The 25,587-nt window shown below is 39.3% G+C and overlaps 1 protein-coding gene across 4 annotated transcripts in view; it reads right to left on the bottom strand.

The window, feature by feature from the left end:
* The window catches only part of HTR7 (5-hydroxytryptamine receptor 7), a 117,217-nt gene that overhangs the window by 34,773 nt on the left and 56,857 nt on the right, over positions 1–25,587 (bottom strand). Inside the window, exon 1 of one of the 4 annotated variants that reach the window (XM_024447973.2) lies at positions 1,581–1,601. The exons of the other annotated variants lie outside the window; for them this stretch is intronic. The gene's annotated coding sequence lies outside the window, so the exon portion shown is untranslated. Of the gene's footprint in view, positions 1–1,580; positions 1,602–25,587 lie in introns of those variants that run through there. 4 annotated transcript variants of the gene reach the window in all.

Below are 25,587 nucleotides of genomic sequence, written 5' to 3' on the forward strand. Positions count from 1 at the left end.
CCTTTTGTTTTATTCTAAGAAAGCCCTGGAGGGTTGAGCAGGGGAAGACTTGGCCTGACATATTTTTTAGTGCTCACTCAGGCTGTTCTGTAGATAACAGACTCTATAGAGACAAAATTCTAGAAAGTAGATTCTTGAAGAATTTGTGACAGCTTTTCTCAGTTCAATTTTTCTTCAGTTACAAGAACAGTGCTTTCTATTCACTGACTTTCTTCTGTATCTCTGAGAATGTTTCAATTACTTGGTTGAGACCAGCACTGCCCAAGAGAAACACAACATAAACCACAAATGAGAGCCATATGTGTATTTTGAAGTTTCTAGTAAAAGAAAGAAGTAAAAATAAACAAGTGAAATTAATTTTAATAATATATTTTTTCATACAACATATCCTAAATATAATTTCCACATATAAAATTATTAGAGAGATAGTTTGCATTCTATTTCTTGCATAAATTCTTTTAAATCTAGTGAATATTTTACACTGACAGCACATCATAATTCTCATGGGTCACATTTCCAATTTTTAAAAGCCCCACATGGCTATTGCCTACCATATAGGATATGGCAGGTGTAGACAATAGGGTCTACCTGCTCTTTGTTCCCCCAGTCTGTTCTCAGTACTATTTCATGTCTGTAATAGTTGACTACTTAAATTCGTAAATACTTTAATCATGAAAGGTCTGGCTAATTTCCATATCCAATATCACTCAGGTCTGTTGGATGGACACTGTTTCCTTCTTCTGCTGTCTCTAACTTTTCATTTTCAAATGTTTTAATTCAGATACACCCTCATATGTATGTATGCTGACCAACTCTAATTCACAGATATTTATTTGAGAAAGCAGCAGGTAGGTAATCTTTATATCCTTTAATAAGTGAATAAATTCTATAAACCTTAGACAAGATGCGAAGCTTCTAACCTTTTCTTCTTTCTCTGAAGTTTATAATTTAAATTTGATTTAGTCATACAGGTAATTTCCTAAACTTCATACCTCACATGTCACATAGGTTGAAAGAACATGAGTTTGTTCTGTTTTTTAAATTTTAAAACCAATATTTATGTGGAAAATATCAGATTAAGAGTAATACTTAGGGAGTAAGATCATTTTCTTTTTTGAATCCTAAGATTCATGTTTTGCTCCTTAATGTGAAAAATCTTTCTAAAATATATTAGGTAGATATCCACTTAGATAAGTATGGTATACAGACTATAATAGAATTTTCTTTGCTGATTACAAAGGCTACACGGTCTCAGTGTTGTTATTCCATAATAGCTGTCCACATACAGAGAGGCAAAGGAAAGAAAATCTAATTAATTGAAGGTCTTAGTTAGCTGAGGACTGGCAAGAATTCATTATGGCATGGCAAATGAGAGCAATTAATTCTGTAGAATAAGTGAGTATATATCAGATAGGAATGTTTTTGGGCTGAATATAATAGCCTCACTAACTGGCTTAAATAAATAAGGTTTTCCTCTGAGGGTCAGCAGGCCAGGACAGGTATAGTCACTTACTCTACAATACTGTCAACGACCCAAAGGACCCAACATCCTTCTAAATTCCCATTTTTAAAAGACTTACCTGTGGCCTTAAGATGCCTCCTACAGGCCGGGCGTGGTGGCTCACACCTATAATCCCAGCACTTTGGGAGGCTGAGGCGGGTGGATCACGAGGTCAGGGGTTTGAGACCAGCCTGACCAACATGGTGAAACCCTGTCTCTACTAAAAATACAAAAATTAGCTGGGTGTGGTGGTGGGCGCCTGTAATCCCAGCTACTAAGGATGCTGAGGCAGGAGAATTGCTTGAACCTGGGAGGCGGAGGTTGCAGTGAGCCAAGATGACGCCACTGCACTCCAGCCTGGGTGACAGAGAGAGACTCCGTCTCAAAAAAAAAAAAAAAAAAAAGATGCCTCCTACAAAAAGAGGTACACCATCCATGTTCCAGGCAAGAAGACAGGCAAAAGGCCAAAAGGCAAAAGATAATGCCAACCAAGTCTGTCCATTTTTAAGAACTTTTCCAGGTGCCACCTGCAAGAAATTTCATTTTGGTCTCACTGGCCAGGGCTGTGTAACCTGACCATCATAGCACGAAGAGAGGCTGGGAGGCAACTATCTCAACTGAAAGCATTGCTATCCTAAACAAAACCAGATAACCAGCAGTTGTGAACAATGAGGTTATTGCACAATTCAGGGAAACAAGGAGTTGGGTCCTTAATTGCTGTGTCCTGTGACAGCTGATGGGAAGTGAAAGCACATAGGGTCAGTATGAGAGATCAAAATCTGTAGCAAGATGTAACAATGCCACTTCCTTATCCACCACCCCCAAATCCCACACACCCCTTCATCTCTTCCTCTTCTGTCCATGCTGAAAATTCCTCTATGAACACTTCCAAGGCTACAATTTCCTACAGTTCTTCAATCTTCCATTTCCCCTAAAGTTGATTCTAACTAGCTGAACCATGGATTCCAAAGGACAAGGATGTTGACATTACTCTATCCACCCAGCCATTTCAGCATAGCAGAGTAGACCACTGGACATAATGAGCTCTTGATTATCCTCCTGTGCTATGGTTTGAATGTCTGTCCCTTCAGAAACTCATGTTGAAATTTAATCCCCAGTGTGGCAGTATTGAAAGGTCCGGCCTTTAAGAGAAGACTGGGTCAGGAGGGCTCTGCCCTGATGAATGGATTAATCCATTCATGGATTAATGGATTAGTGGGGTAATGGGTTAATGGATTCATAGATTATTATGGGAGTGGAAGTGGTAGCTTTATAAGAAAAGGAAGAGAGACTTGAGCTAGCATGCTCAGCCCCTCACCGAGTGATGCTCTGCACCACCTGGGGACTCTGCAGAGTCCCTACCAGCAAGAAGGCCTTCACCAGATGTGACCCCTCAACCTTGGACTTCTCAGCCTCCATAATTGTAGGTAATACATTCCTTTTCCTCATAAATTACCCAGTTTTAGGTATTATGTTACAAACAACAGAAAATAAGCTAAGACATCCTAAAACAGAGACTGTACTAAACGAAAAGTCCCACTGCTATGACTGCTCAAACGTGGCTCCTTTAAATGAAGTGGGGTCTCCCACAGAAACATACACTATATACTCACCCTCTACCTCTGTACTTAATTTAGGTGGCTTTCCACTTGCCCACACTCACTGTTTTCCTGTCTCTTCCACTGTCTAAATGTGTCTCCATTCCTGGATACTATTTTCCATGTGATCTGCTTCTACCTCTACTCTTCCCAACTCAAGTCTGAACTTGAATTTTTTAGCTTTGATCCCAACACTCTCCAGATACAACTTCAAAACAGTCTTCCTTGGCCTCAGGCACCCTGACCTTTGCCTTGTTCCTGCATAACCCCCAGCTGGTGTACCCCCATCAGGAGAAGAGATCAGGCACTCCAAACTTTCTGCACAGTGTGCTAGATTGAGGGAGTCAACCACCATGAAGGGAGAGAACTGCTGCCCTGATTCTCACTGATGAAAGGCCAGGAGGAAGGATTTTAAACATGCCACTTCATAGTGTTGTTTCCTTGCACAGCCCCCAGGAGCCATCCCTGAAGAAACATAGTGCCTCTTGAAGATTTTTTAAAAGATTTTTCCAGTTTGTCCTTCTCCCCCTTTGGAGCAGAGAATGTTAGAACAGAGGAAAAGTTAGGACAAATAGAGAAAGAGGGACCAACATCACCAGGAATGACAAAATAGAATTCTCTGTACTTCTAAATCTGCTAAGAAATAAAACCTGATGTGATTGTGAGAAGTGGGCAATGTTCTGTCCCAAGAAGGAAGACAAGGCCTTCCCTGCTCTGACCCTGCGTTTTGCTCCAGCCTCATTGCTGACTCCCTGCCTCCACCTGCTTTTTGTTTCTCGTATACTGCACTGGTCCAAAGAAGCTAGGTTATGGGCTGGTCACAAACAACTCCAAAATCACAACAAATGTACATTTTTCACTCGTCACCTCTTCTCTGAGTCCAGGCAACTCTTTAGGCCAGCTCTCCTCCATACTATGGCTAAGTAATACCTCTCTGTGTCAAGATACTCCTACAATGCCCAGGCCAGGGGAAGAGTGCTCTGGAGAACTTGACACCCATAGTTAAATGATCTCACCCAGAAAAAACATTTGTCATTTCTCCTCACATTGCATAACCTTGATGAACCACAAGGAGGCAGGGAAGTGCAATTTGTCACGTGTCCAGATGGAGGACAAATGGAAATATTTGTGAGCGACACAAATGCCTAACACACATTCCATGTTATTTTTTACCTCCATACTTTAGGGTAGTGTGGCCCCTGTGCTTAGGACACCCCATCCCCAACCCTTTTCTTGGTTAATCTGTATTCCCATCAGTCATCCTTCACCCTCCAGCCCTGCATGCAGGCTAGGTTAGAACTCTGTCCATATCATTGCACTGGTCACATCATGTTATTGTCTATCTTACTCAAAATTACAAGCTTCTATAAGTGTATCACTTGTCCTTTAAAATTTCAAGTATGAGGCCAGGTGTCGTGGCTCACACCTGAAATCCCAGCACATTGAGAGGCTGAGGCCAAAGGATCACTTGAGGTCAAGGGTTCAAGACCAGCCTGGGTGACATAGCAAGACCCTGTCTCTACAAAAATACATAAGTAAACAGTAAGAAAATAAAATTCGGCCGGGCGCGGTGGCTCATGCCTGTAATCCCAGTATTTTGGGAGGCCAAGGCAGGCGGATCACCTGAGGTCAGGAGTTCGAGACCAGCCTGGCCAATGTGGTGAAACCCCATCTCTACTAAAAATGCGTAAAATTATCTGGGCGTGGTGGCGGGCACTTGTAATCCCAGCTACTCGGGAGGCTGAGGTAGGAGAATTGCTTGAACCCAGGAGACGGAGGTTGCAGTGAGCCGAGATCGTGGCACTGCACTCTAGCCTGGGCGACAGAGTGAGACTCCATCTCAAAAAAAAAAAAAAAAAAATTCAAGAATGAAGCACAGTATGTGCCACATGGAAAGTGATTCGTAAATAAATGATAAATGATTAAATGAATACACAAATAGCAACCCAGAGAGTGCCAAGAAACAGTGAGAGGCACAACACCACAGGGCAGTGGAACAGACCCACACTCACACACACTCAGGACAAAGGTCAACCAATATCATCAAGAATGACAAAATCAAACTCTCCACATGTATAAATCTGCTAAGAAGTAAAATCCAACGGGATTGTTGGAAGTGGTCTGTTTCTTTATCCCAGAAAGAGACAGACATAACCCCTAGTGCCTGGAATGTTGTGGGACCACATGCTTTAGTTTCCTACCCTTCCTAAGAGTTCCATTGGTTTGAAGAAGAAAACATATACAAAACTCCCGTGCAAGGAATAAACGTTTACATCTATGACAGATATGGCTTGAAATTTAATATTCTGAAACTTTTCTTAATTTTTAGATTAGAAAACAATATATGACCACAGCAAAATTTCAAATAATGCAAAATAGTATGAATTGAAAAGTGGAAGTCCTCTCCCCCATTTCTACCCTAGATCCCCAATACTGCTCTTAGAAGTAATCATTGTTAAGTGTATTCCTCCAGAAATTCTCTATGCATAATTTATTTATGTATGTTGATATGTAATCTTTTCCTAAAAATGAGATCATATTTTGCATATTCTAAAACTTGCTCTTTTCTCCACAGTATATATATATGGCATCTCCCTATTAGTATATATAAACACATCCTATCAATTTTAAAGCTGAATTATGAGAATAAGGAATTTAAGCCGAACCCCTAACAAATGAGCAACAACTTTTTAAAGTTTTACTTTTAAATAACTCTTTCGAAGAGAAAAAAAGTCTTTCAGACATTCTCCTCTGGAAACAACTAGAAAACTAACTTCATATTCCCCACAAGATCCAGAAGACATCAGAAGGGTAATACATGGTCAACACAATGCTATTATTTATCTTCTAATTGAAGATAAGAACTGATTTTTTAAAAAATCCTTTTCCTAGAAAATACTGTGTGTTATTCTACCAGGAAATAAAAAATCTGATTTCAAATGTCCTTATTTCAAACATTTTATCTTGTTATATAATAAAGCTTCTTCGTTTATTTATCTTAGGCAGAGAATCAGAACTAAAGTCCTTCCCCATCAACTTAAAGAAATATTCATGCTTCAGATTTTCTACATCAAAATCTAGATTTAGCTGGAAAAAGCCCTCTAGCCACTGTTCTTTGCCCATTACAATTTAGTTAACGGCATAACCCTGCCTGTGGCCATAGTAAGCACAGGCAGCAGTCAAACCACAATTGGTACCTTACTCAAGGCTTTCTCCAAGCCCCCAGCCTTTCTTCCTTGCTTTGGGCACTTTCTCCTTTGACTGCAGACCTTGACTCTCTCACTTCTCTGCCTGGGTTGGATCAGGCTGGACTCCAGGACCAAGCATTGGCCTCTGGCTCTGCTGGCTCCTGCCTTGGGAGGCCTGTCATGCATGGGACATCACAAATACAGGTGAGAGAGCTCCACTCCTTGATACCACCCTAGCAGAGTTCATGGCACCTCCAATTCCACAGACATGGGCGAGAGACTGCACTCAATGCCCCAGACTCCTCAGGATACGACACTGGCTGCTCTGCTTCAAAGAGAGGACACTGAGCAGCTTCCAGAGGCAACAACATTCAGAAATGTGTGCTCAGAAGGCTTAATCTTGAGCAAACCATTGACCCCCGCTAAGGCTTAATTATCGCACTTGTAACATAGGGCTACTAATAGTAATTATGTAATAAGATTATAATAAGTTTAAGTAAAATAATCCATATTATATTTTCAATACAATGCATGATACATAGTATGCCCCTAATAAGTATAAATGGGGATGATGATGATGATGATGATGGCAATGATGAAGTTAAATCTCTTCAAAACATCTTTGGAATTCCTGACTTCCTTGAGCAATCAAACCTGCTAGAATCATGCCCCATCACCTTTCCTATACTTCAAGGAATGAGATCACCTAGATTCTTCCAGAGGAAAGGCATTCTGATAAATAAATAAATAAATAATTGTGCTCTTAAATGGTGCAAAAGACTCAACAAAGATCTTCCAAAACAAGGTAAACCCCTGATCCATGGAGATGCTTCTGAGGCTCCGCAAGTGTTCATTGACATGTACAATTTTCTAATATTTTCTAATGCCACTCATTCTGGGGCCTTTTTCTCCTTTCCCACAAATCCGCTTCATTTTTGAGGTGTTTTTTGTTTGTTTGCTTCTTTCTTGCTCATACCATTGATTCCATCTTTTATATATTTAAAACAGTGAACATGGCTATTTTATGTTTGGTATTTGATAATTCTAACCTGTCAAGTCTGCAGATCCATTGTGCTGTGTATAGTTTTTGGTGGAAGTGCCTTGTTTCCTGATAAGTTTTATGATTTGGTGACTAGGAGCTTACTGGGACTGGAACTGTGGGAATTCTCTAAGGCCTGTAATAAGGGTCTGTTTCTCCAATTACCATTTGCATCTACTTCTGTCAGGCCAGCAGTGCTGTCAGTCCAGGACCCCTTTAAATTAAATTCCAGTTTGAAGTGTTTTTATTTCTCTATTTTTTTCTGGACCTCAGGAGAAGGATGAACTTAGCCCCTAGCCCCATGAGTGCCTGCTATAATTACAGATTCTCAAGAAAGACTTCCCACTACCAGTGCCCAAGTTGAAAAGGCAAATTTCCCTGGCAAATTTTCCTCCCCTGGGTCATGTTTTTAAAAGCCCTAGATTTGGTGGCAGCTTCAGTCTTACTCCCCACTTTGTAAAAGCCCTGTGTTTATTTCCTGCCTCCAGAATGCAGCCTTTATATTCAAAGTTCTGGGTCGCCAGAAATCAGCACCTATCCCCAATGGAAGCTAATAGCTTCTATACTGGTTTACCTCTTGGGCCCCTTGCTTTCTCTCCATTTCATATCTCTAAGGATTCCTCTTACTTTCTTGCCAGCTCAGCCATGCAATTAAAATGGTATGTATTTTTAAAATTTTATCCAGGCTTTTTAGTGTTTTGCTTTTTAGAGATAGGCTTTTTAGAATATTTGATCCATCCATAATGCTACTAGAAATAAACTGGATTTTAATTTCATGTTAAAATTTTACTCAGTATTTTCTCCACCCCATTACTTGAATGGTTTATGTTTGCCTCTCCTTGTCACCTGCTTCAATTACTGTGATGTTTCTGCTGTACTTTGGAGTCCCCACTAATACACAGTTCACCTCTGCCTGGGTCTTCTTTTCTCATGCTCCACTCATGGTGTAGCTATGGCTCTTCACCATTACTTTTTCCAACTAGGTTGGTCCACCGGGGAAAGGTTACTATATAATTATCCTTTTTATTCTATGACTTCAAGCAAAATTTCTAGAACATTTAGTTCTTGACAGCTACAATACAATTATACAAAGAAAGATGGGGATTAATTACATTCTTACTAAAACAAGTCATATTAAGTAGATGATGTGGAATAGTATAACATTTTATACATTATCTGTCACAAAATACACCACATACAAAACTCTCTAATCATGATGCCAGCCAGCTGCCAGCCAGCTGAGGAGATTTAACCATTTATCTCTTAAAATCCTTTCGTTATCTTAAAATTAATTATATAGGACTCTGAAAAGATCCATTAATAACTCTCCTTTCATCATGTGCTAAATACCTCTGTGTTCTTTCTCTGAAGCTCAAGTATTGGGGTTCTGTGCCTATCCTCTTAGCCTAGGTTTGAACCCTGCTCTAATCCTTCTTAGGCAAGCATCCCAGAGCAGGCCACTTCATCTCTTGGACTGTCTGGCCCTCATCTGCACAATGGAAATATAATAATTCCTCCCCTACAGGACTATGTCAGGGTTTAAATATGAACCCTTTTAAAAACCTTGGTACAATGCCAGCACATAGGTCATCCTCAATAAATGGAAGCCATAAAAACAAATTCTACTACTATCTAGTTTTTTTAAAAACATTCACCCAATATTATCATAAATGCAGTAGTATATATAATAAATGAATTACAACTGAGCCAATATCAGTATAATGTCAGGAAGCCAAGAGGTTTGCTTAAGGAATGGGGATTAATGTGAATTGACTTTACTACCTTCTTTCACTTTATCCTATGTGGAGCCAACACACTCTCTAAGACAGGCAGTCGGGAGAAAGCCTAATGATTCTCACCTTGATCCAGAACAATGTGTAATAGCTGACCACATGACTTGGCATCATTAGTTCCAGAACATACAGTTCTATATTACTTCCCAGTTTCTTAACTCCTATTCACGTTGTCAACCACTCTGGAAAAGGCTCAAGCTTCCACCATTGCACAGGCTGCTCCTCTGCTGAGAACATTCCATAGACTTCTTCAGGCTAAGACTTACTCATTTTTTAGATATCAGCTAGGATGCCGTGTCCTCCAGAAAGACTCTCTGATCTCACTGAGCTCCCTGCTCTGAGTTCTCAGGGAATCACCTCATCATCCGCTGCAGGAGGCTATAAGTGACCTGCTGATTTGTCTGGATTCCCAGTAATATAAGACGCATTAGCACAAGAACTGTGTTTTTCATTGTTCAGGTCAGCAATAAACCCAAACCCTGGTACAATGGTTGATATGACATAAGCATTAAATAAATATTGGTTGGATGAATAAATGAATGAATGAAACATGCAGAAAACCGTAGCAAAAACTGTACCTGTCCCATAAACATCAGAGGCAGCTAGAAACATCAAAAGTGTTTGATCACTCAGAAAGGCCTAAATATCTAATTGACAATCTAATTAAAGAAGTGGCAGAGACATGTATTTTGAACTCTGTCTTCTCGGTGAAAGCGAAGTAGAGTCTAGGGGATTTTCAAACCCTATATGTAAATTCCTTTGATACCTTCGTAATGTCTGTCTATCTGCCTCCTCACCTCCACTGCCCCCAGACACACACACTTCTCCATATAACACATGACTCAGTACCTGGTGCACAGGCACTAAATACATATGAATAACCAACTGCACTTCTGCATTCCCCCACCAATCTTAACACTGCCTGTGGCAATAGCCATTTCAGCCAAGAACCAGTACTGAGCGTCCAGAACTCCAACCTTGATTTTGTGATGTATTTTAAGAAATACTATGGTTCATTCTTATACTTTACTTTAGTCCTCAAAACTATGCTGATTTTTTTCCCCAACAATTCTTACTCCTTCTCAGAACGCACCACAACACCTGATGACAAGAATTGGGCCAAGAATACAGCAATCCACAAAGTCTTGTGGCCTTGACGCCCCTTCTTGGGAGAGCTGGAAAGCAGCCATGGTACTGCCAGCTGAGCAACCCGACCTGGGAATGTATCTGCCCCTGAAGTGTGATTTCTCACCTGTGTTCATGTGACCACTGGGATGTGGCCTTTCTACAAGGTGCTTTCATACCACCTGGCTTCCTTCTTAAATACTGCTCATTCCAAGCATTTCTTGGGATGGAACTTCCTCAGCACATATGTCGGGTTTATCTCTAACCTGGGCCAACCTGTGTTTTCATTAAAAACACATAATTTAGAAGAGCAGGCAGATTAACACCTGATCTTTACTCAATATTATAAACCTCACACATCCCAACACAGAGGATAACCATCGGGGTGCCCTAACACTCAGTAAATGCCAAGTGGCCCACGGCAGGCCTTGGCTAAGGATGGTTCATCCACTTCATTATCAGGAAAATGCTGTGGTTCTCCCCTGCTGCTAGGTATGTGTTCATGGTTCTCTATGCAGGCCACTGATTTTTTTTCCCACATATGTATTTTGGGGAATTTGAAGCTAACGAGGAAGCCAGATGTGGTGCCTGAGCTAACACTTCCACGTGTATTTGTTCCTAATATCTAAGAACCAACATAAGAATAGGCTATGAAATGCTTAAATAGATGGAAAAGTCATGAGACCAGGGAAGAGTAAGAAAACCTGACAGAGTTTAACTTCTCTTATTCTTGGTTATTACCTGAATTTTTATTTTTAAACTACAAAGCTTAAAATTCATGAATAATACAGGAAATCTGTAAAATGCCATTTTTCAGGAATAAGCAGGACATTAAAATGCAAATTGCAGTTCTACACACAGCGGTACTCAACGTGACAAATTAAGCTCTTCCTATTCCTTGTCTTGACATTTGCCTTCAAGATGTTTGTTCAATGTAGAGAGAAAGCAAGAGGGCAAGAGGGAGAATCAGACAGGATGAGTGGTGATACCTCCAGGAGACCAGCCCCATGTAAGAGGTGCCCAAGGCATGAAAGGTCTTCATGGACGCCTTCCTCTCTGGCACAATACGTGGGAAAAAATCATCGTCTGCGTTACTGCATTTTCTCAGGAAGATCTTCTTAGGAAAATGGCATACTTTAATAATAAGATACCTCTTTAGAATGAGTAGGACAGAAATCTAGAAGAAAGTGAGTAAACTAGAAAGCTTCTGAGCTCCTGTTAGACCCTTACTTCCACACATCACTCACTCAGGTAGATTCACAAAGCCATCCTCTAACCGTGCCTTATTCATTCAACATATTTACTAAAGAGGAGGGCCTACTATGTGCCAGACACACTGGGGATACATCAGTAAATAATAAGACAAACCGCTGGGCACAGTGGGTCACGCCTGTAATCCCAGCACTTTGGGAGGCCAAGGTGGGTGGATCACAAGGTCAGGAGTTCAAGACCATCCTGGGCAATATGGTGAAACCCCGTCTCTATTAAAAATACAAAAATTAGCTGTGTGTGGTGGCACGCACCTGTACTCCCAGCTACTCGGGAGACAGAGACAGGAGAATCACTTGAACCCAGGAGGCAGAGGTTGCAGTGAGGGAGATGGGATCACGCCACTGCACTCCAGCCTGGGTTATGGAGCAAGACTCCATCTCAAAAAAAATAAAAATAAAAAAAATAATAAGACAAAGCTCACTACCTTCACTGGACTTACGTGCTGGTAGCTGTGGGTGGGGATTTACGTCAGCTATAGTGCTAAGTGCTTTACATATTTAACTCATGTAATCCTCACACCAGCCATATGAAGGAGGTAATATTATCATTCATATTTTAGAGATGAGAAATTGTAAATGAATGAGGAATTGTAAATGAAATGTGAATATTACTATTCACATTTTACAGATGACAAAGCTGAGGCACAAAGAAGTGAAGTAATTTAGCTAGTAAACTAGCAAATGAACAAGCTGGGATGTGAAACCAGGGACTCTGTCTCCAGAATGCGCATGTTAAACCACTTTATTAGACTGCCTCTCTTATGACCTCTTCCGCTTGCTCCCTTGCTATTTCTGTATAACAATAAGAGTATATTCTCCCAAAGTCAGGATCTGAGGCCTAGTTGTCTTCGTAACCCACTACTCACAACCCCTGTAGGGTCCGGTTCGTAAGTGTTAAATAGATATTAAATAAATGATTTGCCTTTGATTATTAAATTACCCTTACCCTGAGCCGGAGCTGCAACAGTGGGTGTTAGCACCATCTAGTGGAGAAAGGCCTGGCAAGGAAGACTGCCATTATGGAATGGTTGACAGCCAGCAAGGGATTATAGCAATTACCTGGGTAACTCAGGTAAACATCTTCATGTAGGTGCTTTGCCATCATTCTGCAGACCTCTGACAGCTGATCTGATAACCCCCCAGATTTACCAAAAACGAAACACCTAGTACATAAACAGTATTCCAAGCCCAAAATAGATCCAGCTTTGGTATTTTTAAGGAATTACCAAAGAACACTTTAAACGGAGCTCTTCTGGAAAATCCATGATTATGGTCACAATACAATAGGGATGATCTCAACTTCTTACAGGAAAGGCCTACATATATACATCTACAAATAACTGCACTAAACTTGTTAAAGCAAATAAGATCAATCATTCGGAGACCAAGAATTAGAATGGATCCAGATATAAAGCTTAAAAGAAAATGGTTATTCCTAATCCCTACAGCTACTGGAACTCAACTCTCTTTGCACATTCTTTTACTAAATATTAGCTAATTGTGATATCAATGTATCAGTATGACATAAGATTAAACAATGGCTCTACCTATACTTTGTTTAGAGTAAAACAAAACAAAAATTTTGAATGTACTTCATATAAGACCTCTTAGAAAAACAAGAAAAATAAAGGAGCATTTTATTTCAGTTAGTCATGTTTAGTTACTTTTCCCCTTTGACAAAAAGCAAAGAAAAACAGAAGAGAGGAGGTTGATGAAAAAATTCAGGGAAATAGAGTAACAGGCCAAAGTGGAGAAGACAGAAAGTGTCTGCACTTCTAGTCCCCACTTCATAGCCTAGCAAACTCCTATTTATCCCTTAAGACCTTGCTCAAGTGTCACCTCTACTGTAAGGTCCTTCCTATCTGCACCCCACCCCAGCTACTTACTCCCATTATCGCGATCCCCTAGCACTTGATCCATAACACTATGATGCAATATAATGTTATATTGTCATCGTGCACCAACTTATCCTTCTTCAACAGAGATGATGGGGACTTTCTTAAGTTTCTCAGTATATCTACTGGCTAACTGACTACTGAAACCAGAAGTAAATAATGATCCTTTGAAACAAATACCATTTCCTTCCTCCTTCTATGCTCTGCATTGTTATACCACAAAAAGCTCCTGAAAGTAGCATAAATTCTCAAGCAATTCTCAAGGCCTCTGCTTTGACTCTTTTGTGATTTTTTTTGCCTACATGGTCTTCACAACTAGTCTTCTCAAGACACAAAATCAACAATCATTGAAGTGTAAAGAAGAAAAAATAACAAGGTCTCTGGTTTTAAATGCTATTTTTTTCTCTTCTGCCCACAATAAAACTGTGTCAGGAGGGATATGCCACACACACATCAGTGCATCTGCCTGAACTGAAAAGAAGGTGGAAAGGTTCACTGGGAAAATCAAATGTTCTTTATAAATCCAAGTGCCGAGACATGATCTGTTTCTTTAAATGCTGTTAGCAAATGTACTGCTGAAGGTTAACAGACAATTAAGAATCATCATAGTTCTATGAAAATGATAAACAAAACAGAAAGATCAGCCTTTCGTGATTGCATAAAATCAGCCACAATCAAACAAAAAAAAATCACTAGGGAAAGCACTGCACTTGCTGAATGCATTATGATGGTATACTGTCTGTGGTGGCTAAACATTTGGATTTGGGGAGGTCCAGAGCGCCAGATTTCAAATCCATGTTCTGCAGTGGATAAGCTGGGTGACCTTGAACATATTATGTAATCTCTTTATGCCTCAGTTTTCTTATCTGTAAAATGGAAATAATAATAGTACCATCCTGGGTTTGTTATGAGCAGAGTGCCTAGCATGCAAAAAGCGTTCCATAAAGATTCATTCATTTCATTATTTCATTTCATTTTTTCAAGAAAATATCTACTTAGTGCACACCCTACACATTGTACTGGAAACTTTCATATACATCATCGCAGTTCAAATCTAGAAAAATGAAAGAGTTAGACACAATGTACCTTCCCAGTGCTAACATCCTTTTATCCTAGTCATGTGGAATGAAAATGTGTTTCCAGGGTTCAGCAAACATTTGATTCAAGTTTCATTGCTAAACATATTAATCATTTTTAAAACTGGAATAAAAAGTATTACCCACACTTGAGTTCTTTATCAAATTTTAATACAAGGGAGACCCCAAATGACTTAATTTGTGCTGCCTGGTTAACTTTGCTTTTTTCTGGAGCCCTCAAAATAAAACTTTGCAGTGGATATATTTGAACTCCTTAAAAATGTGACACCGATTAACAAGACTGCAGGTCTTTTTCTGTTTTGATTTGTTCTTTTAATTCAGACCTGTATATGTCTATTCACATAAAATCATACAAGTGAATACAATCCTCTGGCATTTGTGTGTTCCACTCAATTAAGTGACAGGATACATTCATATGGTATTTTCTGCCAAACGGTGACAAATTAAACTAGCTGATGAATCCGTTAATTGACTCTCTAAACTGAACATTTAACAATTAATAACTGCATGCACTTGTTACTTGCTGTGATTTTAATTTGAAACAAGCATTTCCTAGCCTTTTGAGCTACTGTTTCAGTTAAATTGAAGAAGAAGCTATTTAAAAATACTGTATCAGTTACACTAAAGAGCAAGCTATTTTAAAAAATACTGCCATTTGTAACTACTCATCCATGTAAATCTAGATTTTCTCAATATTATGCAGAGAGAGAGAGAGAAAGGGAGATTGAGGGAGAGGAAAAGACAGAAAAAGAGAGTAAGAGAGAGAGAAAATTACATTGGATGCTTAGACTGATGTGACTACAACTGTCTTCCATAAACAACAATTTCACAGGAAGTTTGTTAAATCAGCCTCATTGCTCTTTTGAATGGCAGTAAGAATCAAATCTCACAAATTTGAACTAATAAATTCATACAAATAAAACACTCCCCTTCATCTCTTCCATATATTTTTATCAATCCTACATATATATTTCATTTTGAAAAGGGGCAGGGTTCAGAAAACTTTGTCCTAAGCCCTTCTCTATTGTGAGAAATTACCATGGGCCAGTAACTGTTATAATTTCTAGGTGGGACACAAACTCAAAAAAATTATCAAATACCTGAACACAAGAAGGTTTACATTTAGAGAATACAGATATATATATATATTTAGAATGAGACAAATGTGGAAAGTGCCATCAAAGTGTATGTGTGTATGTACACATAAATAATGTATATTATACACAATACCTAAAGCAGTGAGGGGGAGTTAGATTGGGGGTGAGTAATTTCAACTGGGAAGTTAAAGAAAGGTTATATGGATAACCTAATACTGAAGTTGCACATTGAACACTGAACAGAATTCAACAAGAGGACTAAGTGTAAAAGACCACAGAAAGATTCAGAGGTAGGAGATTGAAAATGTTCAAAAAAGATGAGTGCCCCAGGTGTATGTAAGCATTTTAGTTTGTGTGCATTGAAGGGGGAAGAGGAGCGGGCAATGGCAAGGCTAGCCTAAATTAAAATGTCATAGCCCCCAAAATTGCACTTAGAATAAACACATATACTATGTCAAATGAGCCCAGAGAAGAATTTTTAAGGTTAATTGTGTTTATGATCCCTCCAAGTGTTTTATTTCACTTGGATACGATTACAATTTCTAGTAAGTTGAAGCTGAATAATTTTCCATTTTATCACTATCATCTTTCTTAACAATTTCTCACAAACATGAAAATTATTCCATTATTTGACAGGGGTTTTGGCTCCTCAAGTATGAAATATCTAGGCACAGCTGTTTCTTACAGTTCTTTGGGATTTACCTGGGAAATCTCCAAATCTGTTTTCAGTATACTACAAAAAGACATCAGGAAATTAAAGAGCAGTAAAAAGAGCAGAAAATCTTGTGGCTCAAACTCCTCGTTTTCAGAAGCATTTACCACGCAGAAAGATTAGGTGACTCTGTTGCAAGGATGAAATAAAACAGAGTATGAAGCCACTTTATCAAAAACATGAAAAATTTTAAAAACTGTTCACACAAGTTCATTATACAATCTCTGAATGACAAAAACATAATTATGAATCCATGAATCAAATTTTCAAATTTCTTGCCTTCCAGTCCAACATCACCCATGTATAAGGCAAAGTAGTGCGAGTTAAAAATAAGATAACAACAAGTTTATAGTTCTAAAGCCTTCAGCGTCTAATTGGGTAAATGAAGAATACAGCCTGTAATAGGACTCTTTTGGGTTTGTTTGTGGGTTTTCATTGTTTTGTTGGGGTTTTTTTGTTTTGTTTTTGGTTTGGTTTTTTTTGGCTGCAGCTATACCAGCAGGAATTAATCATAATTCTTGATTTATAGCATATTATAAACATATCTTTTTCATAGGATTTTTCAATGGTTACACTTTTAAATATATATATTTCAACTGTACATTATATATATACACAAGAGAGCTTTTTTATAAGTTGTAAAGAGATTATGGATGGTCCCTAACTAACTACGGCTTGACTTACCATTTTTCAACTTTACCATTCGGTATGCTCCTCAACTTACAATGGGGTTACATGTGGATAAAACTATCATAAGTTGAAAATATCATTACATTGAAAATATACTTTCAGCTTTCCATTTTTACATCTAAAATGGAAAGGCTTATCTAATAAGGGTTCTGATAAACCCTTAAAATGGATTTATCAGAACTTATCAGAATGGAGAAAGAACAGTATTTCAACAACTGGTGCTGAGAAAACCATATATCCACATGCAAAAGAATACAGTTGGAGCCTTACCTTATACCACATGTGAAAATTAACGACAAAAAAAATGAACTGAAGACCTAAATATAAGCCCTAAAACTATAAAACTCCTAAAAGAAAACATAAAGAAAAGCTTCATAACATTGGATTTGACAATGACTTCTTGGATATGACACCAAAGCACAGGCAGCAAAAGCAAAAAATTAACAAATGTGAAGAAACAGAACTTTAAAACATCTGTGAATCAAAGAAAACAATCAAGAGGGTGCAAAGGCAACCCATGGAATGAGAGAAAATATTTTCAAATCATTTATTCAATAGAATTAATATCCAGAATATATTCCGGATAAGAACTTCTACAACTCAACAAGAAAAAAGCAAATAACCCAATTTAAAAATGGGCAAAGGGCTTACATAGACATTTCTGAAAAGAAGATACACAAATCTCCAATAATCATAATTATGATAGGGTAGAGAGGTGAAAATCACAATAACATACGGGCAGAACTTGAAAATCAACTAAAGGAATCATTAATAACCATAGAAGAGGATAATTCCAGGAATGCAAGAAGAGTTTAATATTGGGAAATTACTTATAGTAGTACATCAATATTTCTAATTATATATATATATATTTAGTATAGATAGTGAAAATAAATTTAATATTATTTTTAAAAAAACAATTTTTAAGAAAGCTCAAAAAAAAAAAAAAAGATCACCTTGGAATTACAGACAAGTGTACAATGTACCTCAACTAAGACACTGTATTAGTCAGGGTTCTCTAGAGGGGCAGAACTAATAGGATGGCTGTATATATGAAGGGGAGTTTATTAAGGAGTATTGACACACACGATCACAAGGCGAAATCCCACAATAGGCTATCTGCAAGGTGAGGAGCAAGGAAGCCAGTCTGAGTCCCCAAACCTCAAAAATAGGGAAGCTCGACAGTGCAGCTTTCAGTCTGTGGCTGAAGGCCCAAGAGCCCCTGACAAATCACTGGTGTCCAAAAGCTGAAGAACTTGGAGTCTGATGTTCAAGGGCAAGAAGCATGAGGCATGGGAGAAAGATGAAGGCTGGAAGACTCAGCAAGTCTAGTCCTTCCAACTTCTTCTGCCTGCTTTATTCTAGCCACACTGGCAGCTGATTAGATGGTGCCCAGCCAGTTGAGGGTGGGTCTGCCTCTCCCAGTCCACTGACTCAAATGTTAATCTCCTTTGGCAACACAGATACACCCAGGAAAAAATACTTTGCATCCTTCAATCCAATCAAATTGACACTCAATATTAACCATATTTAAACCATATAACCAATATTAACAGACACAAACACACACATTAGCCTCGGCCTACACAGGGTCAGGATCATCAATATCACTGTCTTCCACTTCCACATCTTGTCCCACTGGAAGGTAGGTGTTCGGGGCACCAACATACAAGGAGCCGTCATCTCTTGCGATAAAAAATAGCTCCTTCTTGAATACCTCCTTAAGGACCTGCCTGAGATTATTTTACAGTTAACTTGTTTTCTATAAGTAGAAGGAGTACACTCTAAAATAACAATTAGAAGTATAGTATAGTAAACATACAAACCAGCAACATAATTGTTTATCATTATCAAGTACTATGTACTATACATAATTTTTATTTTTGTTTTCTGCTTTTTTAAATTTTTTTGAGACAGGATCTTGCTCAATCACACAGGCTGGAGTGCAGTGGTGCAGTCATGGCTCACTACAGCCTCAACCTTCTGGGCTCAAGAATCAAGCAAGTCTCTCACCTCAGCCTCCCAAGTAACTGGGACTAAAGGTGCACACCACCACACCTGGCTATTTTTTTATTATTATTTGTAGGGATAGGGTCTCCCTGTGTTGCCTAAGCTGATCTCAAACTCCTGGGCTCAAGCAATCCTCCTACCTCAGCCTCCCAAAGTTCTGAGAACAGGCATGAACCACTGCACCCAGCCTATACATAATTGTATGTGTTATACTTTTACACAACTGGCAGTGAAGTAGGTTAATTTACACCGGCATCACCACAAACACGTGAGTAAGGCATTGTGCTATGACGTAAAGATGGCTACAACATCAGAAATCACTAGGAACTTTTCAGCTCCATCATAATCTTATGGAACCACTGTTATACATGTGGTCTGTCATTGACCGAAAAAGCATTACTCAGCAGCGCATGACAGTATATACATTTTCTTTATCCATTCATCTGTTGTGGGGCATTTAGGTTGTTTCTATGTCTTGGCTATTGTGGATAATGCTGCAATGAACATGAGATTGCAGATATCTCATCAACATACTGATTTACCTTCCTTTGGGTATATACCAGTAGTAGGATTGCTGGATCATATGGTAGTTCTATTTTTAATTTTTTGAGAAACCCCCATACTTTTTTCCATAATAACTGTATCAATTTACAAACCAACAACAATGCACAAGGATTCTCTTTTCTCCTAAATAAAAAACAAGATAGGAAACTATAACTACAGCACAAACTCACTTTTCATAAACATTTATACGTACGGAAAAAAATTAGCACCTCCTTCTACCATGTCCACCACCACTTTCTAAGGAGAGTAATGACAGAAGTACAAAAATTTAGAGGCTCTCTGAATGATAACAATGAAACAAATGATAAAGGTAGAAGACATTATCAGTTTAGGTGTGAAACTAGAAGTAAGAAGACAGGAGATGGCAAGATAGGAGTCTACAAAAGCAAGAGGAAGATTTAAAGAAAAATGCTCTGAATTAGCATAAAGTTGTAAACCCAAAAGTTATCTGAAACAGGTCTCAATCAATTTAGAAGGTTTGCTTTGCCAAGGTTAAAAATACATCCATGACACAGCCTCAGGAGGTCCTAATGACATGTGCCCAGGGTGTTTGGGGTACAGCTTGCCTTTATACATTAAGGAAGACATAACACATCAATCAATACATGTAAGATTTACATTGGTACATTGGAAGGGCGGGACAACTTGAAGCTTGCAGGGATCTGTGGGGGTTGAGGGGTGTTTCCACGTCATAGACAGATTTTAACATGTTCTGATTGGCAATTGGTTGAAAGGGTTATTATCAATAGAAAGGAACGTCTGGGTTATCATAAGGAGTTATAGAGAGCAAGGTTTTATCACGCAGATGAAGCCTCCAGGTAGCAGGCTTCAGAGACAATAGATTGTATAAATGTTTCTAATCAGACTTATTATCTGTGTTGACGTTAATGCTGGTCAGCTTTTCCTGAATTCCAAAAGGGAGGAAGGTATAATGAGGCATGTCCAACCTCCCCCTTCCTATCATGGCCTGAACTGGTTTTTCAGGTTAACTTTGGATGCACTTGGCCAAGGAGGGAGGGTTCCATTCAGATGGCTGGGGGAATCTCAGGATTTTATTTTTGGCTGACAAGCAATAAATAGATGCAAGATACTGTCACAACTAACTGAATTATTCTATCAAGGAACAGAAGTCCCACAAAACAATGAGGAATGTATCAGGGAAACTGTTCCACAACACAAATGTTCCAACCTATGGATGTTTAAATAACAAAAGGTTGAAAAGAGTGAAATCTTTCAAAAGTAATTTGTGTGCTTTCCTGAATTCTGAAACAGCACTTACAAAACAAATTTTAGACCAGGTGTGGTGGCTCAAACCTGTAATCTCAGCACTTTGAGGCCAGGAGTTCCAGAACACCCTGAGCAATATAGCCAGACCCTGTCTCTAAATAAGCCAGGTGTCGTGACAAGTGCCTGTAGGTCCCAGCTACTAGGGAGGCTAATGTGGAAGGATCACTTGAGCCTAGGAGTTTGAGGTTACAGTGAGCTATGATTGTGCCACTAGAGTCCAGCCTGCGTGACACAGCAAGACCCTGTCTCTAAAATGATTAAAAAACAGACAAGGCTAGGCTCACGGCTGTAATCCCATCAGTATGGGAGGCCGAGGCAGGCAGATCACAAAGTCAGGAGATTGAGACTATCCCGGCTAACACAGTGAAACCCCATCTCTACTAAAAATACAAAAATAAAATTAGCCGGATGTGGTGGCAGGCGCCTGTAGTCCCAGTTACTCGGGAGGCTGAGGCAGGAGAATGGCGTAAACCTGCAAGGCGGAGCTTGCAGTGAGCCGAGATCATGCCACTGCACTCCAGCCTGGGCGACAAAGCAAGACTCCGTCTCAAAAAAAAAAAAAAACCGACAAATTTTAATCTTCTCCTGATGATTCAGTGCCATAATCACAAACATCAAGTACTGCACTGTCTATGATAAAGGTATGTCCTCAAAAGCAGCCAAATTTTCTAGGATTATTTCTCCAACACTGGGTCCAAATTTCTAGGTTTTTTTCATTTTTATGTGTTTTTCTGAAGCTTTTTATAGCTTTTATCTTAAACACACTGAGTTTTAGAGCTGGAAGGGGCCTCAGAGACCAGTTCAACCCACACATTTTACGGAGAAGGAAACTATTTTCTTCCTCCACCATGAAGCTCTGGCTCCAATGTATTCCTGTTTTAATATGTCTATTGTGAGCAACTCATCTCCCTTTTCTAATTTTCTGCTTCTAATCTGACAACTGGGAAACCAGATAAGCAAACTTGTTAGAATTGTATCAAAAATAGCCATAATCTAAATGAAAAACTATTCTAAGAACAAAAAGTAAGAGTTTCAATGTTATTCTGTAGGGTCATACATTGTGGTAACTTGAAGGCCTCTTTTCCATTCTTTGCATTTTGGGAAGGTGTTTACAAGACAATACTAAAGGTTTCCAGGACTTTCACATAAATGATGCTAATTCTCTGAAAAGAAACTCTTCCCCTTATGGACTATGTGATCTTGAGTAAACTGTTCAATGGCTCTGAGTCTCTGTCTCCTCACATGTAAAAAAGAAATGAATTATCAGGGTAGATAACTGTTTAATTCAATGAGGTCACATGCTGTCTTTGTTCATTTTGTGTTGCTATAACAGAATACCACAGACTGGATCATTTATAAAGAAAATACATTTATTTCTTAACAATTCTGGAGGCTAGGAAGTCCAAGGCTGAGGGACTCATATCTGGCAAGAGCCTTTCTGCTGCACCATTTCATGGCAGTAGACAAAAGGGCAAGAGAGCATAAGAGGGTAAAAGAGGGCAAGACAGGGTGGAACTCACTTTTATCAGGAGGCCACTCTTTCTATAATGGTATTAATTCACTGATGAGGGTAGATCCCTCATGGCCTAATCACCTCTTAGTGGTCCCACCTCTTAATACCATCAAAATGGCAAATAAATTTCAACAGAGTTTTGGAGGGAACATTCAAACCACAGCATATGCTTTAAAGAAGGCTAAAAAAATGGGAGTTGTTGTTTTATCTCCACTTCTTCTCAAGCAGCAGAAGAAGCCATGTTTGCAAAAGCTAATACTATCTTCATGTTATGTAGCTCATTCAGGACTGGGTACAATCCTACTCAAAGCAATATTGGGTTTTCCACAGGAATTCTCAAAAGTAGATGTCATTAGAATCACCTAGGAGCTTTAAAAACTCCTATAGCCTAAGCCCCACTTGCAGATAGTCTGGTTAAATTGGACTGGGTTGGGTCCCAGGTATAGGTACTTTTTAATATATCCCCAGGCTGGACACACTGACTCATGCCTGGTGCTGGGAGGCCAAGGAGGGAGGATCACTTGAGCCCAAGAGTTCAAGGCCAACCTGGGCAACATACTGAAACCCCCATCTCTACAAAACTAAAAAAATTTAGCCAAGTGTGGTGGCACATGCCTGAGTCCCAGCAACTCAGGGACCAAGGTGGGAGGATCTCTTTAGCCCAGGAGGTTGAGGCTGTAGTGAGCTGTGATCATACATGCACTCCAGCCTGGGTGACAGAGTAAGACTGAAACTACCACTGCAAAATTATAACTGAGAAAGTGACAGAGATCTGACCTAACCAACTCCATCCTGCTTCTAACCTCCAAGCTGTCCTTGCTCATTCCTGGGTGTAGGCTGAATCAACTTTGGGAGGAACTTAGTTATAGTTTATACTTTGAAACAAAGATAATAACAGCCCTTTCCCAAAACAAACCGCCTTCTTGCCCGAGAACTAGACCGCCTTTGTAGAGCTAACAAATTAGTCAAAAGATTAGAAATTATGGTTTAGGAGTCATGTAGCTGGAAGCTACAAGATTCTGACCCTCCCCAAATTGCTCCTGGGGATAACATCACTATTGTAAAACCTAAGATTAGTGCCTGAGATATTTTGCAAACCCTGCACTTAATGGATCAGCTGGCACCATATAGATTGATAAACTGGCTCATCTGATCTTGTAGCCCCTATCCAGGAACTAACAGTGCAAGAAGACGGCTTCAACTCCCTGTGATTTCATCTCTGGCCCAACCAATCAGACCTCCTTTGACTCACTGCTCCCCACCCTGACACCCACCAAATTTTCCTTAAAAACTCTGATCCCTGAATGCTCCAGGAGACTGATTTGAGTAATAAAACTCATGTTTCCCGCACAGCCGGCTCTGCATGAATGAATGAATGAATGAATGAATGAATGAATGAATGAATGAAGAGATCCCCAGGTGATTCTCATAAAAGCCTGGGGTGAGAGCCAATGCTCCTGAGAAATACATTGAGCCTGCTGGGTGTCGGTATCTGTCTGCATTAGATCAAAACCCCTAACAGCCCCAGCTGTCCACTGGTGAGATTCTAGGCTGGTTTCTTCTTTGTGCTTCCACACTGATACTTCTAGGACTCCCCGCAAATCATCTCCTGTACCCCTCAAATTGCTTGACAAAGATTTAAGTCTGATCTCATACCAGGTATATACACTGGTATAATGGTACCAGTTGTTTAAATATAATATTTCCAAACTTGCTGGCAAACAGCTGCTGTTCCAAGCTCCTGAGGGTCCCCCACCTTTCCATCATCCACCCTATGACCCAAATCCATTCTGACTGGTCAGTGGTGATAGTTAAACATTGTATTATCCCTAGCTTTGATGACCTGGTGCTTTGCCCCACCACACTAAAACTTAGAGGTTGAAAGTATTTTAAGTAATGATTTTTAAAAAATAACAGATGGGAGAAAAAATACCTCCAAATCATATATCTGATAAAGAGGTTGTATCCAGAATATATAAAGAACTGCTACAATTCAATAATAGAGCCACAAACAATCCAATTAAAAAGTGGAGGTAAACTGTGTATGGATATCTCATCAAAGAAATTACACAATTGGCTAAGATAACACCATTAATAAGAAGAAAAATACAAATTTAAATGACAACAGAAATTCTACACACTCACTAGAGTGGCTATAATGAAAACATCTAACATGACAAAGTGTGGTGTGAATGTGAAAACAAAACTGGAATTCCCATACATTGATTTGAGAATGTACAACCACTTACAAAAGTTTGGCCGTTTTCTTAGAAAGTCAAACACACATCTATTAGCAATTCTGCTCATGGTAATCTACCCAAGAAAAATAAAACAATGTCCTAAGAAATGAAAATAAAATTCTAAGCCCCCAACTGACTGAATAGAACCCCTCTTGGCCAAAGAAACCCTAGAGAAACCTTGGAAGCTGAGTCACAGTGACAAGGGATAGATTAGCCACGCCTTACTATACTCCCACCCTCCCACCCTCCTAACAGCCATCAGGCTTTCTTCCCCAAGGGCTAAATAGAAACTAGTCCTTTCAAAAGACTACTACCTTATCTTCACATGTACAGAACAAATACAACATGAGATTAATCATTCCTTCACCCCCCGAGATGAAATTAACCCTTTCTTCACTCCTCCTTGAGACGTGTTTTCTCTATTCTCTTTTTCTTCAAACATTCACCTTATCTTACGTAAAATGTAGATTTACTGGGCACTAACTAAACTCTCACAAGTATGTAATCATTTGTCTCACTGCTGTCCCACCCTTTCCCCTTTATAAGGAAAAATATATAAATACTAAATATCCTGAGAACCTCTTTGTGAAAAACAACCATAGAAGCTTCTGTTTTTTCTGGGCATGCCCTCAGGGTGGCTCAATAAAGCTCCATGATTTGAGACTTATGCCTCACACTCATGTTAGCAGTCATTTCATTAACTCTGACGGGATCTCAGGGAAGAGATCAGCCCCTTTGACCCGCAGCAATTCTCCTATCAGTGCTGGCAAGAGATTCTCTCTGACAGATTGTGCACATCACCAATGCTCAAAAGCTGCTCTCTTCTCCTGAGGTTCCCTGATCTGAAATTTTTGATTTCAGATCCCAAGGTTCATTTTGCCACAGAACTCCTCTAAAAAGGGAGTTTGCTCACTTCCAATGGAGAGCAGTCTTCAGCGTGGGCCCCATCTCCAGGTAAGGAGCTGGT

The sequence above is a fragment of the Homo sapiens genome, chromosome 10 (assembly GCF_000001405.40).
Source record: "Homo sapiens chromosome 10, GRCh38.p14 Primary Assembly".
Lineage (NCBI taxonomy): Eukaryota > Metazoa > Chordata > Mammalia > Primates > Hominidae > Homo > Homo sapiens.